At 35.3% G+C, this 26582-nt stretch overlaps 1 protein-coding gene across 90 annotated transcripts in view; it reads left to right on the forward strand.

Annotated features, from left to right (window-relative positions):
* The window catches only part of MAP2 (microtubule associated protein 2), a 310066-nt gene that overhangs the window by 228199 nt on the left and 55285 nt on the right, over window positions 1–26582 (forward strand). For 74 of the 90 annotated variants that reach the window (NM_001375493.1, NM_001375501.1, NM_001375503.1 and 71 more), the window contains 2 exons: window positions 897–1187; window positions 26327–26440. In NM_001375493.1, coding sequence (NP_001362422.1) covers window positions 926–1187; window positions 26327–26440 — 376 coding nt within the window. In that variant the 5' untranslated portion in view covers window positions 897–925. Of the gene's footprint in view, window positions 1–894; window positions 1188–9250; window positions 9434–26326; window positions 26441–26582 lie in introns of those variants that run through there. The other 16 variants (NR_164698.1, NR_164697.1, NR_164695.1 and 13 more) reach the window with 2 other exon arrangements.

A 26582-nucleotide genomic window follows, 5' to 3' on the forward strand; every position in this document is an offset into this window, starting at 1 on the left:
CTTTGCTATAATTTACAACTTCCTGTTGTATGTCAATGGTTTTAACTTTTTCAGATCTTATTTGATTTAGCTGAGAAATAATGCCATAAGATAGGATGTAGGCCTAATGCTATATTTATTTCCTTTCTCTCTGTAAGATTTACATTAATAGAAAATGTCATTTCCTCTTAGTCTATAGATAGGGTCCAGGAAAGTTTATCAAAAAAATTAAGTTAAAGCTATCTTTCTTTCTTTTTTTTTATTATACTTTAAGTTTTAGGGTACATGTGCACAACGTGCAGGTTTGTTACATATCCAGAAAAGTGTATCTACCTTCGGCTTTAATTGAACACCCTTGAAACCAAAACGGCTAATATGTTAGTTATTGTCTTTTCTAGATCTCACTAAAAGTCATGATTTAAGAGAGTACATGGGATAATTTTTCATGGTATAGAATTCCTGCTGTCATTCTTCCTCCCACTTTTTCTAGCCCGTTTTCTCATACTGCAGATTTTCCCTATGCTGAAGGATTCCTTGACTCTACCATACAGTCAACATTCAAGACCATAATTAAATGAAAGTTCATTAAGATGTATACCTAAATGCCAAACACTAGTTTTTTTTCATTGTTGTTTGGTTTTTTGTTTTGTTTTGTTTTGTTTTTGTTTGTTTACAAAAAGGAATATGTGTAGAATGACATTGATCTTATTTTAAAAGAACTAATATTCCAGAAATGGTCTGTAAAACTCAAGATGAACTAATTGACCCATTCTTGATATTAAACATAGGTTATTGTACATGTTTTCTTTGACCATAGAAAGCCACACGGTTTGCTACAAATTTTTCCTATCTTGGTACAACCAATATCAGATCAGAAGATTTCCCCAAAGTAATAGCTACTATTTTTTCTCTTTCAGTTGCAGGAGAAATAACAAGGCATTGAAGAATGGCAGATGAACGGAAAGATGAAGCAAAGGCACCTCACTGGACCTCAGCACCGCTAACAGAGGCATCTGCACACTCACATCCACCTGAGATTAAGGATCAAGGCGGAGCAGGGGAAGGACTTGTCCGAAGCGCCAATGGATTCCCATACAGGGAGGATGAAGAGGGTGCCTTTGGAGAGCATGGGTCACAGGGCACCTATTCAAATACCAAAGAGAATGGGATCAACGGAGAGCTGACCTCAGCTGACAGAGAAACAGCAGGTAACTAAGGGCTCTACTGTCACCAAGTGCTTGCTTTGTGCTTTGAAGTCAGTTTAGTCTGAAAGTGAATTAATATACAGCACTGATCCTCTTTCACTAGTGCTAGGACTGAAATTCCAGTCAGTCAGAGGAAATAAAAGAAGAGAAAAATCATGGCAACTAACTTGACATTTCCCCACATTATCTGTATTCTCAATCCCATTCCCCTATTTAATTTTTATCACGTGAATTTTTGCAGGCTGAGTATATGTATGTTTTGCTAGAAACTGTCAGCATTTTAACTCATTGAAAGAAAACTTTACAAATAGTTTTTTTTTAATTCTCTTAAATGACCTTGGACCTAAATCCAATGGATTGATTAGAAGCATATTTTTTAGAGCAGAAAAAAGCAAAATACGTAAATACATACTGTAATTTTTTTAATCCATCATTCAACAAATTACAGTTTAGCTTTTCTACATGCAAGGTGTTGTGTTAGCTTCTGTGCCAGTGCATGTGCAAGAAATGGTCCCAGAACTTCATGAATCAGATGATCTTGGAGCAGACATGAGACTTGTGCATATGTTTATTTGGATACAAAGCATAACATGTAAGTGCCACATGAGCAGTATAGAAAGGCAAAGTTTAAAGCAGATTATTTCTGCTTTGGGCCAAAGTCCCCAAATTGTGCACAAAATCATCTTATCATCTTGGGGTGCTGCAGCAAATTCACAAGAATACAACAAGGTATTTTAAATATTTAAGGGGAACAGTGATAATATCTGTCAAACACTGCCTGAACTATTAGCTCAAGATAGTTTACAGTTTCAACATTACATTACACTATATTCCTTTAATATGTCATATCTTTGCAAAAATAGGTTTTCAGCAGTTGTTCTGATAAAAGCAAGTACCCTGCAGAAATCCATGTGAAATGGAAGAAGAGAGTGATAGTGTCCAACCTGATTCCAGGGTTTGAGATACTGTGCAGTGCCCCACAGGCACATACATTCAATTAGTATGAAATTGTGGTTGAGAATAAAATAAAAATATTATTTGCACATTTCATGGTTACAATGAGGATTAATTAAGATAGTAAAGTGTACAAAGTGAATGGCTCAAGAAATAATAACTGTTAATTAATTTTATTATTATTGGTGGTAGTGGTGGTATCAATATGGATGACATAGCACTCTTGATCAAGTAATATTTTTCTATAGCTGAGTATACACAACTTTAACAGGGTGGAACTTGGGTGTCAGGAGCACTAAGAGGATTTTCAAGGGATTGCAGCATGAGGAGATGAGAGCATGTTATAGCATATTGATTGTGAGGAAGAAAAGAGTTAGTATGATATGTCAAGGTTTTTTTCATCATCGTATCTTGCAGCATTAGACCTTCAATATTCCATAAATGTGTGTTGAGTGAGCGAGTGAATGAAGGAATAAATGAATAAATTCAAAAAGAAGAAAGTCCTCTTCACATTAATGATGAAAACAATTGAAAAGTCTTACTTTGTCCCTTGGGCTCTCGCCAGTTGACTCTCAGTGCCTGTTATGAAAGCTTGTAATACACAAAAAAAAATCACTGCAGTGTGCTTGGTCATGCAGTAAAAACCAACACCATTCACTATTTCATCTGTTCAGTGGTCTTAAGTATTTGAGAGCATCAGAAAAATCTATTTGTCAAGTCAGTGTATTATCACCAGCTTCTCTGAGAAAATGATATACATTTAAAAGAGGCTAATAGACGTTTCTTTTAAATGATGGGTTTAGGAACATCCAGAGTTCATTTTAAATTCAGCTCAATGTGTATCAAACACATTTGGTATTAGCTTTTGGAGATTGATTACAAAGGTTTTGTCTGTATGTTCTGAGTGACAAAAATTGTAAACAGTCAGCCATGGGCTACCAGAGTGATAGTCAATCCAAACTAAACTATGGTGTGATTTTTAAATTAACTTTCCTCTAGAAATAAGCAGCCAAGTATTGAATCCATGAGATATGCATGTGTAGAAATCTTTAGAAAAAGGAAAATGTAAAATAATATCTTTTCATGTCTACAGAGGATGTTCCAGTGATGAGTTAATATGCAATTAAATTTATTTCCAAACTCTAATTTAACAAATAACAACTTTTATCATTCATGGTTTATTGACAGCTGTTTCACAAATTGTGTAATAAAAATCATCTCCAGCATAAACAAATGCTCTTAAATCCCAAATATGGTATTTAGAAATGCTATCCTTTGATGATGGAGACTATAGATATGAGCTGGCGTAATATTTTGATGTGATTATTTTAAAAAGGACCAGGGATCTATACATCAGCTCACTCTTTTATACAATCTACCAGTGTATTACATTTTTCCCTATAAAGGATATTTCTCAGGACACTGTTAGCGTGAGGCACTTCTCAGTGACATCAGGTCCACAGCTATATGTTGTAATATCCAGGACATTACTGATTAAATCAAAGAATCTTCCCTCTACTTTCCGTTTTTGCTATAGTCCCCTCTTTGCATTTTAAAATAATATTTTCTCCAAGTTTGTTTCTTTTTAATCATTTATATAAATAAGATCACATGATAAATAAAATGCAATCGTCATCTTCTTCCCCCTTTTCTCCTTCATTAGAGTGGGCTCACTTCAACCAAGATCCTTACTTTTTTCCCCCTCATCCACTCCTTCAATGTTCATCTTTATTATGGGCAATAATAATTTTTAAAGATGCAAACCCATAGTCAGTGTATCCTTGATCTTATGCACTGACACCAGAGGGTGGGAGAGTGGAGAATATTAGAAGGCAATAATAATTTAAATTGGCTGGGTGCAGTGGCTCACACCTGTAATCCTAGCACTTTGGGAGGCTGAGGTGAGTAGATTGCTTGAGCCCAGGAATTCGAGACCAGTCTGGGCAACATGGCAAAACCTCATCTCCAAAAAAAAATTAGCCGGGTATGATGTCACACACCTGTGGTCCCAGCTACTCAAGAGGCAAAGGTGGGAGGATCACCTGAGCCCAGGGAGGTCAAGACTGCAGTGAGCTGTGATCAGGCCACTGCACTTCTGCCTAGATGACAGAGCAAGACCCTGTCTCAAAAAAAAAATAATAATAATAATCTAGATTTTGTCCCCTTTTTTATGATTTAAAACTATCCATAAAAAGAATTATTTGCTCAACTGTAGCATAATTTTTCATTCCTTAAGATTTTTTCTTACCACTAAAGTGTGCTTTTTGGAAGCCATGCCACAGAAGCATGAAAAAAAGAAATGAGAAACTATTAAGCATCTAGCCACTTAGGAAAGCTGTCGTTATAATAAGTCTAAAGCGTAATTTTTATCTTTATCTTTGTTTTTTGTTTTTAATTTTTATTTTCATGGATTCAGGGGATACAAGTGCAGTTTTGTTACATGAATATATCTCATAGGGGTGAAGTCTGGGCTTTGAGTGTACCCGTCACCTGAATAGTGAACATTGTACTCAATAGGTAATTTTTCAACCCTCACCTCTTTCCCACCCTCCCGCCTTTTTGAGTCTCCAATGTCTATTATTTCCATATTTATGTCCTTGTGTATTCATTGTTTAACTCACACTTGTAAGTGAGAACGTATGGTATTTGATTTTCTCTTTCTGAGTTATTTCACTTAAGATAATGGTCTCCCGTTCCATCCATGTTGCTGCAAAAGATATGATTTTATTCTTTTTTATGGCTGTGTAGTATTCCATCGTATATCTACACTACATTTTCTTTATCCAGTCATCCACTGATGGATGCTTAGGTTGATTCCATACCTTTGCTATTGTGAATGGTGCTGCAATAAATATATGAGTGCAGGTGTCTTTGATATAATGATTTATTTTCCATTGGGTAGATACCCAGTAGTGAGATTGCTGGATCGAATGGTAGTTTTATTTTCAGTTCTTTGAGAAATCTCCATACCGTTTTCCATAAAGACTGTAGTAATTTAACATTCCCGTCAACATTGTTTAAGAGTTCCTTTTTCTCTATAGCATTGTTAACATCTGTTGTCTTTTGACTTTTTAATAATGGCCATTCTAACTGGTATAAGATGATATCTCATTGTGGTTTTAATTTGCATTTCCGTGATGATTAGTGATGTTGAGCATTTTTTTTCATATACCTATTTGGCCATTTGTGCATCTTCTTTTGAGAAGTGTCTATTCATGTCCGTTGCTCACTTTTTAATGAGGATTTTTTTTTTCTTGTTGAGTTGTTTGAATTCCTTAGTCCTTCGTTGGATGCACAGTTTGCAGATATTTTCTCCCATTCTGTGGGTTGTCTGTTTACTCTTTTGGTTATTTCTTTTCCTGTGCAGAAGCTTTTTAATCTAATTAAGTCCCATTAGTCTATTTTTGTTTTTGTTGCATTTACTTTTGGGGTGTTAGTCATTATAATTCTTTGCCTAGGGCAATGTTCAGAAAAGTTTTTCCTGGGCTTTTTTTCTAGGATTTTTATAGCTTGAGGTCTCACTTTTAAGTTAAAGCATCATTTTAAAATTGTTTTCCAAAGCGTAAATAATAAGAGTAATGGCTTGTAATAATTCTTTCCTCTCTTTTCTGTGTTATCTTTATTGAAGAAAGCAAGAGGAATGCATTTTGGTCCCCACAGAGTTTCAGCTCTGAAGATAACTGGGAGCCTCATCCTTAAGTTTCAGTTCCAGGGTTGGGGCCCAAACTCGTATTAGAACTTGTATCAAGATCTTATAAAAGGGCAAAAGGGATTATTTGTAAAATTTGTAAAATATTGAGTGGAAAATTATTTTAGAAAATGGAAAGTGACCTTTCAAATTTTAAGGGCACAGAAAAGCAATTGATTTCTGTAATCATTGTGCATGTGACTTAACAGTGTAATTGGTTTTGACTTCATCTAGTATTCCCTTAACAGTATTATATCAAATCCTATCTTTACTGTGCCTGTTTATAGAATCATTTTGAATATGGTACTTTCTAGCAGCAAAAACAGGGATGTGCAAACAAAGTGGTGGTTCTATGTTTCTGACCTTGCTCTAAAAAAGTAATAATTTTGCTGTTGCTCACTTTTCATCTAAAGAGAGGAAAAAAAAATTATTATTATTACTATTTTTTTTTTGAGATGAAGTCTCGCTCTTGTCTCCCAGGCTGGAGTGCAATGGCACGATCTTGGCTCATTGCAATGTCTGCCTCCCGGGTTCAAGCGATTCTCTTGCCTCAGCCTCCAGAGTAGCTGAGATTACAGGCGCCTGCCACCAGGCCTGGCTAATTTTTGTATTTTTAGTAGAGACGGGGTTTCACCATGTTGGCCAGGCTGGTCTTGAACTCCTGACCTCAGGTGATCCACCCACCTCGACCTCCCAAAGTGCTGGGATTACAGGCGTGAGCCACTGCGCCCGGCCGAGAGGAAAAAATTTTCTAATTTCTATTCATCCCTCAAGAATTGCTTACAAAACTATTATGGAAATATATATAAAACTACAGCTTAGAAATGTGTGTAGAATTGCAAGCTGCCATAGTGCTCTTCAGTTTATAAAGCACCGTCATATCTTTTATCTCATTTCATCTTTTTGCAATTTCCATGAGGATATCTGTCATTAGTGTCTTCTTTTTACAAATAAGAAGACTAAGGCACAGAATGGCTGAGCAACTTGCCCATTATTACACAGTAAGAAAGTGAGAGAGGTGAATTGTGAACACAGTGTTCAGGAATTTCATGCAACTCTCTTCTCAACTGTCCTAACCTCAAGAAGTGGTATGGATTTTTTTTTCTATAGTTTATAATTTACTTGGCTTTATAAATATGCTACTCATTGTGAAAGCTTTCAAGACTCTTTTAGATGAGTGTATTTTTTTTTCTTGCTCTCAGGATTAATTTTGCAAATGTCAGGATTTGTTCTTTATTAGAAAATCGTGGTGAAATTAGCTACTTTTCTATCACAGTTGTGGATGATGTGATTGAAAGCTGGAAGGGACCAGTGAGATGACTTTTCACAGTAGATAATATGACTACTACCAGAATGCAAGTCTCTTGCCCTACAGACCAGTGCTGTTTCCACTATCCCCATCTGCCACATTCAGAACAGCAGTTAGTTGCAGCAGTTATCGATTACAGGCAAAGCAGACAATTCTTCTATTCCAGAACTGCCACATTCATGTAATTTTAAGTGATATGATATCATAACTTTATTCCTAGTTTTCAATCTGAGTAGACAAAAAGGGGAGGCAATTTTGAGATGTTTATTGATACTAAAACATTTTTAAAGTATTTAAAATCAGGCTTTAGTGATTTTTGACTATCTTGAAGTACAGTGCTGTGAACACTAGTAAAAAAAAAAAAATGCTGATCACAGACCGGGCGTGGTGGCTCATGCCTGGAATCCCAGCACTTTGGGAGGCCGAGGCGGGTGGATCACGAGGTCAGGAGATTGGGACCATCCTGGCTAACACTGTGAAACCCCGTCTCTACTGAAAATAGAAAAAATTAGCCGGGCGTGGTGGCGGGCGCGTGTAGTCCCAGCTACTTAGGAGGCTGAGGTAGGAGAATGGTGTGAACCCAGGAGGCGGAGCTTGCAGCGAGCCGAGATGGCGCCACTGCACTCCAGCCTGGGCGACAGAGCGAGACTCAGTCTCAAAAAAAAAATGCTGGTCACAGTAGAAAGTGCCTACGTGACGATCAAAGGCCAGTATCAGCAATCCCCTTGGGTAAATGTAAAGATTAAAAGGCAATTCCTCACTATAATCCCCACAATTTACCAGGATTCCTTTGTCTCCCCATCATTTCCAGGCATGCTATCCAGACCTACCCACTGCCAAAGAGGCAGGAATGGAAAAGCTTTTCCAGGCTTTGCGTTGTCACTTTTTCAGGGAGCTCACCATGGGAGCTATGTCTTATAAAATCTGGCCCTATACTATCACATCCACATAACTCCAGCAGCCAAGTGACCAACACTCAGTTATATACATTTATTGTTGCTGCAATTTTTTTTTTTTTTTTTTTTTTTTTTGAGATGGAGTCTCGCTCTGTCGCCCAGGCTGGAGTGCAGTGGCGCGATCTCGGCACACTGCAAGCTCCGCCTCCCGGGTTCACGCCATTCTCCCGCCTCAGCCTCCCAATAGCTGGGACTACAGGCGCCCGCCACCAAGCCCGGCTAATTTTTTTTGTATTTTTTAGTAGAGACGGGGTTTCACCGTGTTAGCCAGGATGGTCTCTATCTCCTGACCTCGTGATCCGCCTGCCTCTGCCTCCCAAAGTGCTGAGATTACAGGCGTGAGCCACCGTGCCCGGCCTGCTGCAATTATTATTATTATTATTATTATTATTATTATTATTATTATTATTATTTTGAGACCGAGTCTCGCTCTGTCGCCCAGGCTGGAGTGCAGTGGCGCGATCTCGGCTCACTGCAAGCTCCGCCTCCCGGATTCACACCCATTCTCCTGCCTCAGCCTCCCGAGTAACTGGGACTACAGGTGCCCGCCACCACGCCCGGCTAATTTTTTGTATTTTTTTTTTTTTTTAGTAGAGACAGGGTTTCACTGTGTTATCCAGGATGGTCTTCATATCCTGACCTCGTGATCCGCCCGCCTCGGCATCCCAAAGTGCTGGGATTACAGGCGTGAGCCACCACACCCGGCCTGTTGCTGCAATTATTAAGTTTGAAAACACATGAAGGAAAAGTTTGGCAGCTCTCACATGCAAAAAGCTGCATATGCCTTTAAATAAAGCTTTTCTCTCTGTTCTGCTTTTCAATCTCAGAAGATTCAAATCTATCTTTTCTCACCTCGCCCTTTCTCCCCTGCCTCCGTTTCTAGATTTGCGATTTACTAATAGGAGTCAGCATCCCATTTAAAATATGGCCTATTCTATGTAATATATTAATTTATGCGGAGCAAAATAGCACTGAGCCATTTCTCCTGCAAAATGACTAAAGCCATCCACACCAACCCCCCAAGCAAATAAACAAGCTCGCCTAACAATGCGAGAGGTTGCAGATTTTCCTTTCCTAGTTGCCATGCCAACCACTCATTGCTCTGGCTGCCATTTCCCTGAGCTCCGCAGAGAGAGGAGTGTGCAGAGCAGAGTTATTTAGCATTCAAGGGTGGATCTGCAGAAAATCACACAGCCTCACTGCGAAGCATCTGGGCCTGGTGGCACCGATGGATGAGGACAGAAAATGGGGATCTTTTCAGTGTTTTCCTTCTAAAGGTTAGGCATCCGGGGCTAGAAAGAGTGAGAAAGACAAGGATTGATAGAAAAGGCAGTTCCACGAGGTTTGTATTGTCACGTTTGCTTTGTCCTATGTGGTCTCTCTACTAGGTGAAGCTGGTTGTGGGGATTAGCTTCAATCATAATATTTGGCTTGGCTTGTTGATGAATAGGATTTGAACCTAATTTAGGGCTAGCTTATATGGATATTATAATAAAGAATTGTGTCTTTTATTCTTGATACAATATGAGGTTGTATATAGCAGGTATTGCCAGCCACAGCGTTTGATATTTTACAAATTAGAGGAAAAAAACCAACATCAGATAAAGTTTTGTTTCATTGTACAGCTATAAGGTAGTTTGTCCCATAAAAATCTGTCTTTGCTCTGTAGTCCAGTCTTAAGGTAGGATGAGATTTTCTTAAGACGGTAATTCTTAATCGATATATGAGGAAAACTTGGTTTCTCAAGACTTGTTTCCATTAAACCCTATGACTCAACAAATTAAGGTATGATTTTATTCCTTGGAATTTTAATTGCCTACAAACACTTCAAGTTGTGAAGAGCAAGGCTCTATCTAACACAATATAATAGGATATTTAAAAACTGAGGTTAATTGCATTCACATGTACTTCTATGTGTGTTCCTCAAGAAAATTCCTCCCATGCACTGTGGAAATCAGTCTCGTTTCTTGTCTCGCTTTGTGCTAAATGTCAGAACTACATCACAAGCGCAAAAAGTATTTCCTCAGACGTTTTGGTCCACTGACATTTTAAAAATTATTTTGTTGAATTTGAATCTTAACGAAACAGATTTTTGCCAATGACAATTCAGACCTATTTATGAAAATTATTCTTTCTAGTTTGTTTTTAAGTGCAAATATAATTTAATTATCATTGTAATTTTTACTTGACCTTTCTCTCATCCCATTTTTTCCAAGATCTTGTTAAGTTTTCTCTCCTCTAATATGCTGTCATGTTTTGTCATCATATTTTTCTTTTAATGTTTTTCAATTTTTTTGAGATTTAAAAAACCTCCATTTAGATAAAAATTTAAAACAATTCTTAAATTCTTTTTTTATTTTTAGCAAACAGATGAAAGTAATAAGTAATGGGAGTGAGTCTTCTAGACTCATTTTTGGACTGTCTAAGCCTTTGTTTTGGTTAGGATTATGCATGGCCTTTATCTGTCCTTTGTTATATTTCGGAGTATTTTCTCCTCACAAAAGAGAAAAAGAAAAAAAAGATAAGATAAAAAATCTAATACTTTTGAACAAATAAATTGCTCAAATATCTTGAGACTATATTTCTTATCAAGCAATAATGTGTTTTTAAGTGTGAGATATATATATATATACACACATATATATATTCTTTGATTATATTACTTGTGTAGGTCTGAGAAAAATGTTTGCCACTGTATGCCAAATGCTGCCTTGCGGTTTAGAATTGGGTTTGATTTTATTGCGGTTGGGAGGTTATTAAGTAGACTGGAGAGTACCCAGCAGTTATCACTCCTCTTTTTTCCCCTCTAAGCTATTGAGATAAACTGACTCTTTCTACTTCAGTGTGTCAAGCCTTTTTCTCTTCCTCTCATTCCCTCACACTTCACTGCTCCCCAGTACATTACATAAAGCACGTGCTTTGACTGTCAGGGGAGTCTGGAAATCATATCAGGAGAGGATGAACAGAACAACTGGTGCTGCATTGCAGACCTGGTAGCTTCAGCATTATCTGACCTGGCATCGTGAGTCCTGGGGGAAAAGGACACTAAACCGTGTCCTGCCGGCTCACTGTGTAGCTCGTCTCACTGAATGAGTCACCATTCAGCAACACTCATAGAAAATACAGTTCAAAAACCAGCCAAGCTGATGAGCAGAGGAAGGGGAAAACATATGTCATAGGTTGTCATGCAACTTTTAACAATGCTTTTAACAATTTTTGCAAATGCTGGGTGGTTATTAGAACACAGAAATGAGAGTAAAATACAGTTGATTTCAGGAATACGCAAGAAGGCATTAGGCAAAAATAGATAAGAAAGGAGGAATCAAGATTCAGAGAAAAATCATCCTAAATACATATGATTCAGTTTAAGCATCCTGAAAATCCATATTTTTAATTTGTAAACACAGGTCAAAGTGATGCTGGCATATGAGCACCTCTGGTTCTTGCAAAGCATCTCCAGCATGAATGATCAGTCCTCCGATTGGTCTAAAATGTTCTCTTTTGTGACACGTTGCATTTGCCGAATGTAAATGGGCAAGTTTACATTGTGGTGTTTTCATTCCCATGCAGTATTGTGCAAGAAGTCATAAGAAAAACATTTTGGAAGGGTACCACCCTACAGCAAAGGTTCTCGGAAATCTACCATTAAAGATAAAGAGCTGTTGTTGATTTTATTCTCTCAAATGAGTCTTCCTCTTCTGAACACCCCCAAGTACCATGTTTATATCTTGCTAATACAATTGATCATAGCAATCATTTTACTGAGGTTACTTGTTATTTGTTTTTATTACAGTCAGTAGGTTGGAAATGCTTTGGGGTAGAACCTGTGCTTCATTCATCTTTCTTTTCCTTTTTGTATATAACACAGTGCTTATTTTCTATAATATGTATGTGCTAATACATATTTTTTGAATTAATATAAAGAAGAGAGGGCTGGGCATGGTGGCTTGCGCCTGTAATCCCAGCACTTTGGGAGGCCAAGATGGGCAGATCACTTGAGGTCAGGAGTTCAAGACCAGCCTGGCCAACATAGTGAAACCCTGTCTCTACTAAAAATACAAAAATTAGCTGGGCATGGTGGCACATGCCTGTAATACCAGCTACCTGGGAGGCTGAAGCCCAAGAATTGCTTAAATCCAGGAGGTGGAGGTTACAGTGAGTCAGATCACGCCACTGCACTCCAGCCTGGGCAACAGAGTGAGACCCTGTCTCAAACAAAAAAACAAAAAGAAGAGAGAGTATCCATATATAGTTCTGAGAATGGAAATCACATAAACAAAATGGTCTACAAAATTTATACTACATTGTGAACAATAAATTTGCAGGAAAGACTGTATTAGAAAGGAAAACCGTGGCTCATGCCTCTATCCCAGCACTTTGGAAGGCCAAGGCAGGCAGGCAGATCACGAGGTCAGGAGATCGGGACTATCCTGGCCAACATTGTGAAATCCCATCTCTACTAAAAATACAAAAATTAGCTAGGCTTGGTGGTGCATGCCTGTAGTCCCAGTTACTCAGGAGGCTGAGGCAGGAGAATCGCTTGAACCCAGGAGGCGGAGGTTGCATGCAGTGAGCTGAGATCGCGCCCCTGCCCTCCAGCCTGGTGACAGAGCGAAACTCCGTCTCAAAAAAAAAAAAAAAAAAAAAAAAAGAAGAAGAAGAAAAGAAAGGAAAACTGAGAATGAAGAGGTAATCAAGAAACTGAAAACAGTCTAGATTCAAAGTAAGGACTTTAAAAGTGTCGGTTAGAACAGAAAGAAATTAGGTAGGAACTCCAAAATACTGTAGTGAAAGTATATGGTGGAAGACTTGACTTGTTCTGAAATTGGGAGTGAGAGTTGGGAGTAAAGAAAATATATCTTTGACTGAAGATAGCAGTAAGATATCAAATTGGAGATATTTTCTTGATGATGAAAATTACTGAGCTGAAAATAATATGAAAAGTCCAGATAAATGAACTTTCTAAAAGATAATCTAGTGGTTAAGAAATACATAGATACAGAAAAATTTTTCATGTTCATTTCTGCAGAATTGAGGCCAGTGTAATAATTGGCTTAGGTTGAAAATGCCACTGAAATATTCTGTAAATGGAACTCTATAATGCATGTCTTTTTTGATCCTCTGACTATAAATAAGGATTGCTGCACTGTTCTAGGTCAAGTAAATCTCATTTCTGACAAATGGGCAATCTAAATCTTAAAGCATTTGGATATTCTAAGTCATGGATTTAATATGTGCCTCCTTTAAAGGAGTATACCAGTATCGTCTTGGAAAGATATTATGTATCCTATTTTTGAAGACCAAATGTCACCAATGCCCTTTATTTTCTCTATTTCATCTTTGAGTGCATAAAATTATTTGCAAATGAGTTCTTAGATAGTAAACAACATTATCATATCAAATTAGGAATTTATACATTAACTTTAGGAAAATATTGTGATTTCAGTTAAATATAATTCCTTAGTTTCATTTTAGTTTTCATTTTTCACTTAATAAAAAGCTTCCTGTGATCCATAATTTTCTTTTCCTTTGACATATTTGAATGAAAATGCTCCCATTTACATTTTCTAAATCTAATCATTAAGTATTTCAGTGTTTAGTGAAATTCTTCTCCAAGGAGGAAACTAATAGTAGTAATAATAATTATTGACTTACTTTTATAACCACTTTTAAAAAATCAATTCACTGGATACTTTTTCTCCTTGTTGAATTTTGCATCTTCAGCTCATGTTTATTTATGTCTTTCTTTAAAAATTGGCTTTGGTTGTTTTTCTCATCAGCTTGAAAAATAGAATTTGTGACTAAAGCATTAAAAAAATTGGAATAAACTTGCTTTCCTTCGAGCTTTACTGGAACACAAATGCTGACCTGGGGAAAGTGGCTTTTTCTCCAAATATTGCACTAACTTGGTGTAGATCACAACGCATGTAAGATATTTATTTTCTCCAGGCCAGTTCTCATCTAATTCTTTATAAATCCTGATTGCTATAAGAAAAGAAGCAAATGATTGAGTTTGATGCAAATATAGTAGCCACTTAACAAAAGTCACATTTTAAGAGAGGAAGTTCATTCAGTTGGGATAACAGTAGAGGATAACAGTAGAGGAATAACAGTAGAGGAATAACAAGAGGATAACGAGAAAGGAAGTTCATTCAGTTGGAATAACAGTAGTTCCCTTCTCTCATCTGCCATCCTGAAGAAAAATGTGTTATGAAATGCTCTGCAGACCACATTTATCTTGCTCATATGATCCTAATACAACATCAAAAATACTGCTCAAGGAATTGGCTATTTTGGTGACACAGGTTTCCTTTCTAGTTGGATTTCACTCTTTAAGGGTGAACTTAAATTACTCTAGCTGACTATCATCTTATGATGGAATTACTAGATACGTTTGAATTTAATTTTTTTATGTGAAGAAAAAAATTTTATCATCTTATGATGGAATTACTAGATAAGTTTGAATTTAATTTTTTTTGATGTGAAGAAAAAAACTCCCCCAAATTATACTTATTTTTAAAGTAAATTTTATAATATCGAGCATTTTTTCAATTCTAACTAGAAATGCTTGAATCTCCTGAGGCTTGAATAATGGCAAGTTTCAACTTTTGCCTGTGTTCTTTGATACAACTGAATGTGGAAAAACTACAGTATGTAAATAGAAAGTGGTTTTCTTCACCAGTTCTGTGGGAAAATGAAAATACGATATTTGCTTTTTAAAGAGTATTTTGGACACTCTAAACTCTATTTAAAATGTTGAGGTATTTCTTGTATTTTATGCTATAAAATTTCAGTAAGACACTTTAATTAACATAATGATTGTATTAAAACCATACTTCTCTTCCTATAGCTTTTGATCACCTTCTAGTTGTTTTCAGATCATGTCATTCCTGCCTCTTTGTTTCATGTGTGCATTTCAGAACTGTCCAAGAAAAAGAGCAAAAACAACAAAGTTCTCTGGTTTCATGAGAGTTTTTACTTTTACAGTTTTTTTTAAAGAAAACAAACCCAAACTACAAACTCACATAAAATATTTTTGGAAGGGGTGGTCTCTGTAAAAGTTGGGAGAAAAGTGACTGATAAACTAGCAAAGGGAAAGGAAAGGAATCTGAGAAACCAAGCTATTTTTAGGCATATTCTTAGAACCGAGAATTGGTCAACTGCTTCATGATCAGGGCTCCTGTACATGAAATACTGACATTGTAATTTCATTTTGAAAAACAAAGGTACAAGTCCTGATTTAGAAATTTTCCTTATATGTTGGGAAGAAAATAATATATTTTTCATATATTATCATAGTAAATTGAATTTTCATTGTAATATTTTCCTGAAAATTTCAGGGCCTTTTAATGAAATCTGATTTTCCATATCCTCAACAAGCCCCAAATGTCTATTCCATAAGATTGTGATTCTCATTCCAAATGAAGCTCTGTCTTTGTAGACCAAGTATGTTGTATGGGTATAGTAATATCTGCCTACCTAGGACCGGCCCTATGCAGAATTAGAAAGTAAATGAAACATGACTTCAGCACTTTTCTATCTGCTTCCCCAATCCCTTCTCTTCATTTTCTTCAAGTCAGCAGTCATATGCTCATATGCCTAAAATCCCGCATAAATCCCATTACAAAGCTTAATCTCCTTGCCCTATATCAGGCTACCTACCTAGATAGCATCCTGTTCTTACATTTTTCTCAACTCTACCACTCCATCAAATTTTATCTACCTTTCTCTTTCTGCTGGGCTCCTACAATAGGACAACCAGAGCTATTTCAATAACAAGTTACAGTTTTATGCTTCTAGATATCATTTCTATTCTGATATAAAACTTCATTGTCTTCAAGTAAAGAGTGAGTTCTTTGGCAAGTATAGGTATAATAGAGATGGAATTCATGCTTTGAAGGTATTTCTAGAGGTGTGCTTGGTATCAATGAGAAGCAATACAGTGGAGAGATGCAGCTATAGAAATTGACATGAATAAACAACATTGAAGCAAAATCATCAATGTAAAATTTTATTTCAACAAACGCCCCAGAGATATTTTCTAAAGATTTGTATGCTATTTGCAAATTTCTCAAGGTGCATTTGAAATTATTATTTGTTTTTTATTTGTCTTACATAATGAAGAAATAAAATTGAAAAATGTATTTAATAATATTTTCCATGGGGTGCATTTATCAATACAGAGTCTAAAAGAAATCGTCTTTATTCTAGAATATTTTTGACATGAAGAAATTTTAAAATTCTATTAAAGTCTTTGCTTTTTACTGTCATAATGGCATCGAAATACAAATATGACATTGACCTTACCCTTCTTGCTGTAAAAAGAAGATTTGCAAAGTCTGTTGATTTTGCTACGTACAGGTCTGGCAAAAAGTATTTTAACTATCATCAATTTTACATATTTAGAATTTTTCCAGTGAAGGTGCTCCCCTTCTCTTGGGTTGTGGCTGAGCTTTTATTTTACAGCATTATTAAAGAAAGAATAGTAGGATGGTTCAAATTTACTTTACTTTCTTTTGCTTTTTCTTAAGTAGGTATTTCAGTTTTCAGAAGTTCATAGTGTAATTGATTTCACTGTACTTCCCCCCATAAGATTACTGAAACATGATTATCTGATTATATATTCAGTTATGATTTGAAAATTACAAAGAACTACCATGTCTATTTAACATTGACTTTTAAAGTCTGTCAAGTCATTTCAGGTGCTGGTGTAAAGAGAATCTTTGCGGACAATACTTTTGTAGCTATAATGATATAAAATATGCAGGTATAGAAAATGAACAGTCACTTATTTACAACATTAATAGTTAATGAGAAACTTGCTAAGAAGAAAGCAGATAAGGTTGATGATTGCTGCTATTTGCGAATTCTTAGAAACGTTATAGGACGGGAAGGAGGTTTAAGTGAAATCTGATTACGCAGAAGTCATGTTGGTTTTTCCATGTGAACATTGAGTGTACCTTCTGATGTATTTTGAACAAAGTGATTTTTCCCATCACATGGTTCCTAAATTCCATATGCATCTAGGTCACAAGGCTTCCAAAGATTTCTAAGTTATGTTGGGGATGAGAGAGAAGGATCAAACAAAAGTTAGCTAAGCTGCTGATCTTTACCATTTTATTGTAACAAATATAGTTTCTCCTAGAAGAAAGATCTGTGTTTACAGAGGTAACTAGTAAAGACTATTCTTGGTATATAGAGAACTTAATTTCAAAAGTTTATTCCAATGACATCCTTTTAGAATGTAGAATTTTTTTCCATCATATCCTGTCTCAGGCCAGCATTGGCATTCCTATGTTTTGCAGCTATAGAAGCATTGATTTCTCCATAAGAAACCCTAGCCTTGCTCCTTGTGCCTAAGACCTGTGAGGTATCCATGTACAGATGAGACTTTAAAAGCATGGACAGACCTCTATGTGCATGAGTCCTAACATGTGCATACACACACACACACGCACACACACACACACAAAATTGCTTTTCCACAAACCCACTATATTTTATATTTTGTTTATCTCACAGTTACTCTTTCTAGGGGTGGATTTATTCAAGGTCTCTTTGTTTTATTGATATTTTATTTTCCCACTAATATTTAAAATGTATCATGCTACATTCCTTTAGCAATGTGATGTATTTTAAGACTTAATGAAGAGAATATAATCCAATTTCCCCACATCTACAAAGAGTAGTACAATTGTAACAGTTTTGACGAGATGCAAAACAGAACATTTCAAAGTTCCAAAAGTACTGTCAATTCCCTCAGTGCCTTAATGATTGGATTCAATTTATTGGTGTTAAAACTATTGAAAATTTCAGGGGAGCAAACCTCTCTAGGAATTTCTCTTTCTCAAGTTAAGATTGATAAAATATTACAACCTTAGTTAATTAGTAAATATGTAATATAGGGGCTACAAACAACATAAACATGCAATACATTACTCCATTGGACACCCCCAAAACCACCACCAGCAGAACACTTTAACTAGAACATGATAAATATAAAGCTAAATTGTAACGATACTGGCTTACCATATTTCTTCTGCTTAAATGTGTTTTCTGTTTCCTACTTTCAGCTGGGAACTTAAAATTAGAAGCAAAATTTTCCAGTAGGTACTATCTCTGATCTGTGCTTTTCTAATTACCTTTGACTCCATAATGTAGTGTTTTTAACCTGTGGTGTCCTTTCACTGATAATAGTATTAATTTACTACATTTTCCTCCTTGACCAAATTTAAATGCTAGGCCAGTTCTATTAAACTCTAAAGACTTCATTTGAGTACATTAAGGTATAATCTAAACAAGATTGTGGGTTTGAGCATGTACGTGGAGGTAGAGGAAAAAAAAGAGCAAGAGAGGGAGAATTCTCCTATGATTATACACTGTACTCACAATCCTAGTCTACCAATTTGTAAATCCGTTTCAGAAGAGGACCATATGAGTGACTGTGGCGGGATCAGTCAAAATTTGTGGCCACTACTAGTAAATCTTGAAGAAGAAAAATAAAACATGTCCTTGAACAAGAGTGCCCCCCTTTAAACACAACTTAAATGTAGGAATACCATATCTTACTCATCTTTCTATCCCCCACTAGTGACTAAGAATAGCTCCATTGTCTATAGCAGGTGCAAAATAAATTCTCTTAAATTTAAGTACCCATCAGAGCTGAATTTTGTGCCATCATAATTCTTTTATCTTAAATGCATTTGTCTTCGTTAACTAACTTCGCCTCAAATGCATTTTTCCCCATAAACCAAATTGATCCTTGTTTTAATCGCTAAATCTTTAGAAGAAATATCTGGAAAAAAAAAGCTGGTGGGGAAAGATCTGTAGCTGCAATGTTGGCCAGTGTGACCCCTGAGATTAACAGAGGTCTGTCTAGGGTGAGACATGCCAATGCTGGCCTCTAAATAATGCAAAGGTGCCAGGGAAACAAACAAATAAAAACCCAACAATTTGCTCTTTTAATTTCCTTCATCATCAGTTGATTACAGGAAATAGTTTCAGAGGAACCATTTACTCTCCAAATTGAGCAAGGAGTAGAAGCAAATAACTTTTCTTCTTTCCCTATTTTTATGAATTCATCTAGGGTCTTTGTTTAGCAGAGTGCTTCAAACTACACAGTGCTTTCCTTGTTGATTAGTTTCCATCAGCAGCAGCAATTAGCATCGGTTTCCTAGGAAACCATTCTGTACCCTACTGAGAAAAACCTTTTCTTGACAGGAGCATTCTGTCTAAAATTGTTTTGTTTTCCTTCTTCCACAAGCGTACGGTAAGCTTATTTGTCGTTTTCTTTGAACACAACATTATTATACCAAAGATTCTTAAAACATTTACAGGCTTTTATATTCCATATGGTTGAATTTACAGGCACTGTCTCTTACTTTTCTCTAACAACCTGAAAGAAATCAACAAAAATATGTTCTCAAGCATATGCCAAGGTGCTTGGATTTTTTTTATTCACAGTCTAATTGGTGAACCTTTGCACGTTCAAGTAATCATAGCTGGTCCTGCTGAAAAACCACAGGGTACGAATTCAAAATCAAACTTATGGGTCCACCAACAATGTTACATATCACTCAGAATCACTCAGAAACAAGTTGAAACTTCCAGGATCATTGAAAAAGTTTCATCTCCATTGGTTATTTTTAATCAACCAAGCAATATTGATAGATAAATGTAACACAATAACTTTAAAATGCGCTAAAAGCAAAGCCTGAGGTTGTCTTAAAATTTTTGTTGTGACAAGTAGTGTGATCAGAAGAGCATGGCAATGGTGCAGCATGAATCAGCATTAGGGAAAAAACCAGAGGGTCATGATGGCTACAAATGCTGAGTAGTATGATATGACAGTAGGGCAAAATTTACCTTATGTTCCTTTTAGTTTAAATAATAAGTGGCAGGAGCCTGATGTATTGTCTGTTAGGGTCCCAGCAGTGACCCAACATTTCAGCAAGGAGGTACTCATTGGGAAAAATGACAGAATAATCTCAGTGTCTGACAAAAACTTTCAGATCTTACCTACATTTTGTCAATCAAATTATGTTCATAGATTTCATGATAAGAGAACATCAAGAGTGATTAAAACAGTGGTACCTAATTTAAATAAGCACTTGATTTATATTATTTTATTTAATTGTCACAACACACCAAAAGATGAATACTACTCTTATTCCCACTTTACAGATGTGGAATCTGAAGGTTAGAGAGATTGTTACTTAACAAGGTCTTTTGGCTAGTAAGAGATGGAGATGGAATTTGATCCCAGGTTTTCTGACACTAGAACCTACTTTTATATAAAATACTGATGTAAATCATAACAATGTCTAAATGGGACAAGCATATCTTTATCCATTATTTTGCTAGTTTTCCCATCTGGACTATCTGTAAATATGTGTATTAAATAACATCAACAAGAAATGAAAGTGCCTACTGTAACAACTTGTTATACAAGGTTGCTTAATAACGTTGTATAACAGTGTGATGTTTATTCATTAGTTAGGTGAGATGTAAGTAGCCTAGCATGATACCGTTTGGGTTTCTTCAAGTAGTTTTTGGTGGATGACAGCATTTCTCAATTAGTTTCTCATACATATTAATCTCCTGTATGTGTTTCCACCAATATATTTCCTTAATACCAAGAAAAGATATTATTTGTTTCCAGAGGACTGCTTTGATTCTCTTTTCTAAATACTGACCCCATCTTTGTTTCCCAGGAAAAGTTTTCAAGACAGATTTCACTTTTTATCTTCAGATGTTTACCTGGATAGTGGTGATCTGCTATCATCTATTGCTCTGTTGCCTAGATTAAATATTTAAATCCTTTATTCTTATCAGCCTTTAACCAATAACATTTTTAGAAATTATGAGATGAATTTTATTTAGAAAGGTTCCTTTTTAATGTTTTCCCTCTAATTGATTTGTGAGCAGATCCAAGTTGTCACTCATGCATAGCCATGACGTGACTTTACAGGCATGTTATAATATTTTTTATTACTTACAGAAATTGTCTCATTATCATATTGACACTACCGATAAAATAATAACAAATTAACATTCAAATACCAATGTAAGGGTCTTACTGCAATGCAAAAACTACGGTTAATTACATCAAAACCCTGACATTCATTCACAAAAGACAGAATGGAACATTCACAAGAGAAAGAATAGAAAAACATATTGTATACACTTATTAACTAAGATAATTTCTAACATAAACTAAAAAATGTCCAGTGCCAGAACATTTTATAAGTTCAAAAGAAAGATAATTGAGCCTTTCAAAATATCAGATTACAATAAGCAGTTTTATGTTTGTTTAATATTTTCAGCTATGAAGATCAGTGTTACCTTTCAATTACATATAATGAATAATAATTCCCCAATTTATGTGTAATCTAGATTCATCTTTAATCTTCTAACAACTAAGTCCTGGTTGTTATAACTTTACACCTATGTTTGGAAGAAAAAGCAAGAAAAAGAGAATAGAAAGTATAAAAAGGAATAGAAGGTAGGAAAAGTAAGCAATGAAAAATTAAAATGTAGTCTAATCTCTGACTTCAAAAAGAATTTTTCATGTCACCAATTGTCTTCAGAATTAGACAGGATTATCATACCTTTTAGAGCCCTGTCTAGAATAGACAGTCCTGAATTGGGACTTGCTGGATGGAATCTTGAGCAGATGGTAGCCCAGGACCTATGCATCCAGGAAACTGGGTGTGAAGCCAGAAAATAAATAACAAAGACAATATTTACTTCTCTCATATCTTTGCCTTGGAAAAAAAAATACTTCCCTTGTCCATTAACATAGCCATCAACATCAGTGATATTGGATTAACTATATTTTCAGATGGTTATAATAACAATAGCCTAGTTGGGCTGACCTTTAGTGCATATCACTATTGCTCTTTCTTTAAAGTAGAAATATTAAAGTAGAAGACTCAGAAAAATACATGACTAGGGGAAAATAAAGATGTGCTGGTGAAGGACTATATAGAAGTTTTTATTTTATTTGTATTCCAGGCCTGTTATATAATTATTTGCCAGGCCTGTTATATAATTATGTAATTGAGTCCCCACAACAACCTCTGAGACAGATACTAAAATTATTTCCATTTTATGGATAAGGCATCGAAGCAAAATGAGACTGAATACATTTCATAGTATGAAATAACTAGAAAGTAGCAATGCTGGAATTTGTACCCACATTTTCCTGAATTAAAGTCTGTGAGATTCCCTCTGATGTGTGCTGTAAAAAAACAGCAATCAGTAATCCCCTAAATATATAGATAGATGGATGGATGGATGGATGGATGGATGGATGGATGGATGAGGTATTTAATAGACAAATGTAGAATCAGTGAAGAAATTACATATATAATCACACACATCATAATCATTACATTTATATTTTTATAGGTCTGATTTTTTGACTGTCTTTCCTTGTCTTCTAAGTTTGTTTGGAACATTTACCATTAATCTGCCCTGAACTTTACACACACTCTGACTGAATTTGCTCCTGTCCCAGAAGCCATGCTATAAGGATGAAGCTCACCCAGTAGATCTGCTGATGAGGCTTCCAATGAGAGAAGCCCATCTCTTCCTTCCTTAAGAATGCTTCTGTCTCTGCTGATGACAGCCCTTACTTAGAGGAAGATTTTAAATTAATTGGACCAGTTGAAATTCCCAGAACAATCTTAGGCTCCTGTTTCCCTAAATTCACTGTGAACTCTATATTATAAAATGTGACATGCCCTATTTGAAAAAGTTTAACAATATTATTCTCTAAAAAGTCTTAAAGATAATATGTCAATTAAGCCAATAACTTTGACTATGCTAAAATAATGTTTCTCAAATCCTCTTAAATTACTTCAAAGAAGAAAAAATTTACCAATTCTCCCTTGGATTATTTTTTTTAACAACTTTTGGTTAAACATATACAAAAATAAAATTAACTTGTTCATGAGTTCTAATTCCATTATGGGACATAAACACACTTATAAATTCATTTTCTCTGAAACAACAAAACCAGTAAAATTCAAACTCTCTGCTGCTTCCCATCTACAATAAATGATACTGCTTTGCTGAAACTAAATTATCACTCACGATTAGTACTGGCTGATACAGTGCCTTTGTTTAAGTTGGACATTTCTATACTGAACTGGAGACAGGTAATACTTCTATTCTCCTTTTTTCTCTGTTTCAATGATTTTCAAAGTCTATTTATACAGTGTACCACAATGTTATTTGGGCTACACTTGTATGAATACATCCTTTATGTATTAAATCCACCTCTCCTTTTTTATTAGCTCTCAACACTTAAATAATTCTCCATGGATATCAAAACTGTATCCTAAGATACAATCCCAAAGAAAAATACTGAAATAATGTAGAGTTGCTCAGTTATAATTTGCTCATATAACCAATGGATACTTATTTATTTTGGATTATCTTCCCAATCTAAAAAAAGAATACATATAAAACACTCTCAGACCCTAAAAATATTTATCAGTAATTAAACAAGAATGCAGGACCCCCATTTAAGAAATACTGTTTTGATATATATATCAAATACTTAATAATAGAGTAAATAAGATAATTTTAGGTTTTAAGGTTACTAAATGTAGTAACAAGCATGAATTATTTCTGAATGTTTGTAAATATTATGAACAAAACCTTTCATATTAATTTTCTATTCTGTCAAAAAAAATTCTGTTAAGCATCCAATCTGAGTAAAGCTCAATAAGAGAAGCTTCAAGAGTTGTGCATTGCAACACTATTCACAATAGCAAAGACATAGAATCAACCTAAATGCCCATCAATGATAGATTGGATAAAGAAAATGTGGTACATATACACTGTGGAATACTATGCAGCCATAATAAAGAACAAGATCATGTATTTTGCCAGGGCATGGATGGAACCATTATTCTTAGCAACTAACACAGGAACAGAAAACCAAATATTGCATGTTCTCAATTATAAGTGGGAGCTAAATGATGAGAACACATGGACACATCAACATCAAGGGGAACAACACACACTGGGGCCTATTGGAAGGTGGAGGATTGGAAGAGGGAGAGGATCAGGAAAAATAACTAATGGGCACTAGGCTTAATACCTGGGTGATAAAATAATCTGTACAACAAGCCCCCATGACACAAGTTTATCTCTGTAACAAAGCTGCACATGTACCCCTGAACTTAAAAGTTAGAATTGTGACAATGACAGAAGAGAGTCCCTGACTTGGGAAACCTTATATAGTGTGGGAGATAAGCCATGTGAACCAGCACAATTCCATGTGAGATGTACTAAATGCCATAGGAAGACACTACAGTTTGCATACGTGCTAATAGAAAGATGCAGGAATGATCCAGAAGACACAAAGGTCATATATATATATATATATATATATATATATATATATATATATATATATATATCTCCCAATTTCTGCCATGATTGTTCCACCTCTTTATTACACTCAATTTTTCCATAAATCACTGGGGTGCTAGAAGAAGCTACCTCACTCTACTGATTTTTAAATATTTTAATTGCATTAAAAATTAATATATGTAAGCGGCAATTCTCAAAACCTAAAATAATTCTTTTTGTAACATTATTAAACAATTTAGACGTCTAAGCATGATCTTTACAGCTAATTTAATTTTCTGTAGCCCTTTTTGTATACTCTTTCCCATTTAAAAAAACATCACTTTAGGAGCCCAGCCTTTCAGAGAATGTTCAGAGAAACCCCACCCAGCAGCCTGGCTTTATGAAAACAAACAGCCTTTCCTTCTCTACTGCCCTCTTCACTGAGTAGCATAGCAGATAATCCTCCTCATAATGCTTTGGTGACTGTTAATGTTATTTATTTAACTGCTGTAACTGTGAAAAATTCTATTCCAACACTAAAACAAATATGCTAATAAGATAGTATTATCTCTTAGAAATAAAATAGTCATCTTCTAAAGGTAAACTATCACAATATCTAACATGGTCTATGAGATATATAGGTAGGTAGGCAGGCAGATAGGTAGGTAGATAGATGATAGATTAGATAGATAGATAGATAGACAGACAGACAGACAGACAGACAGACAGACAGACAGATAGATGTTGCTCAATTGTGGCTCATCACTTGTTGCATAGCTTCCAGCTATAATCAGGAATGGAATTACAATGATGTATTTTAGATAGACATATAGCTGAGCAGGTCTGATAGTGAGTATGTTTCCTTCATTCATACCACTAAAAGAGTTGATATATTTCTGTTAGTCATTCACTCACGACTGTTAGAAAGTTTTGTGATTATGTGTTTGTTATTTCTTCCATTGTTCTGCTTAGGAGAAAGAATATTATAATAGTCAGGAATGCTAAAAACTAGTTATTTGGTATCTCACAGACCAATCATTTTAATTTTGAGCCCTCCTTTTAAAAAAAATGAAACTAAGATGATTTGATGTCATATGGCTTTAAAGATCTTTAAAATATCAACTCTCTAGAAAAATACTAGTTCTTTAGAAAGAGACCATCTGACATATCATTGCCATGTATTTCATTAAAACTTCATCTTTCCAGATTCCTTATAATTTATCTTATTTTCACTGATCCTGGATAATGCTATTTAACCATAAATAGATTTTCAGATTTTAAATAATGGTATTTCTGCAAATCAAGCACACAAGCTTATATAAATTATATTTTTAGAATAGTATAAGGAAACTATAAAACAAATTTAAGTTAAATTCAAAATGAACCCTCTCTTCTATCCTTGAATTTGTTTTACTAGGTATAAAGAAATTAAATTGTTTCTATTTTTGTAAACAGCTTTTACAAAATAAAGTACCAATTACCTTCACATTGGAGGTTAGGAGTTCAACATATGACTTTGGGGGCAGGGGATACAAACACTCATTCTATAACAGAGATGTCATAGACTTCAGAGTTGAAAATAAATTTCTGTTGTTGAAGCCAAAAAAATGTTCAAATACTATGTAAGTATTTTTTCTCAGTTCTGTGCTCATTTTGCTTGCTTAGCTTAGCTCCTAGAATACCAACTTCTTTTCTTCTTCTTTTTTGTATATATGTGTTTATGTTTTCTCTGCAATTAAAAAATTATGTTGTACTTTTTAGGGGGAAGAAAATGAAATTATAATCCACTATACTGTTTGGTTACTTTTCCTCTTTGCTTTCTCAGACTTCTCATCGTTATATTTTATTTTGTTACTGTTTATTACAGAGGAGGTGTCTGCAAGGATAGTTCAAGTAGTCACTGCTGAGGCTGTAGCAGTCCTGAAAGGTGAACAAGAGAAAGAAGCTCAACATAAAGACCAGACTGCAGCTCTGCCTTTAGGTAAATAAGAAGATTCTCAGGTCAGGGACTGTGTCTGTTGCACCCTGATCACAGGATAAAGTCTTCATGTTCAAAAGATAGGCCATATCTTGTACTTCATCCTTACATGTAACATTCATCAGACACCTTGACTGGGTATGCA

This window comes from Homo sapiens, chromosome 2 (genome assembly GCF_000001405.40).
Source record: "Homo sapiens chromosome 2, GRCh38.p14 Primary Assembly".
Taxonomy (NCBI): Eukaryota; Metazoa; Chordata; class Mammalia; order Primates; family Hominidae; genus Homo; species Homo sapiens.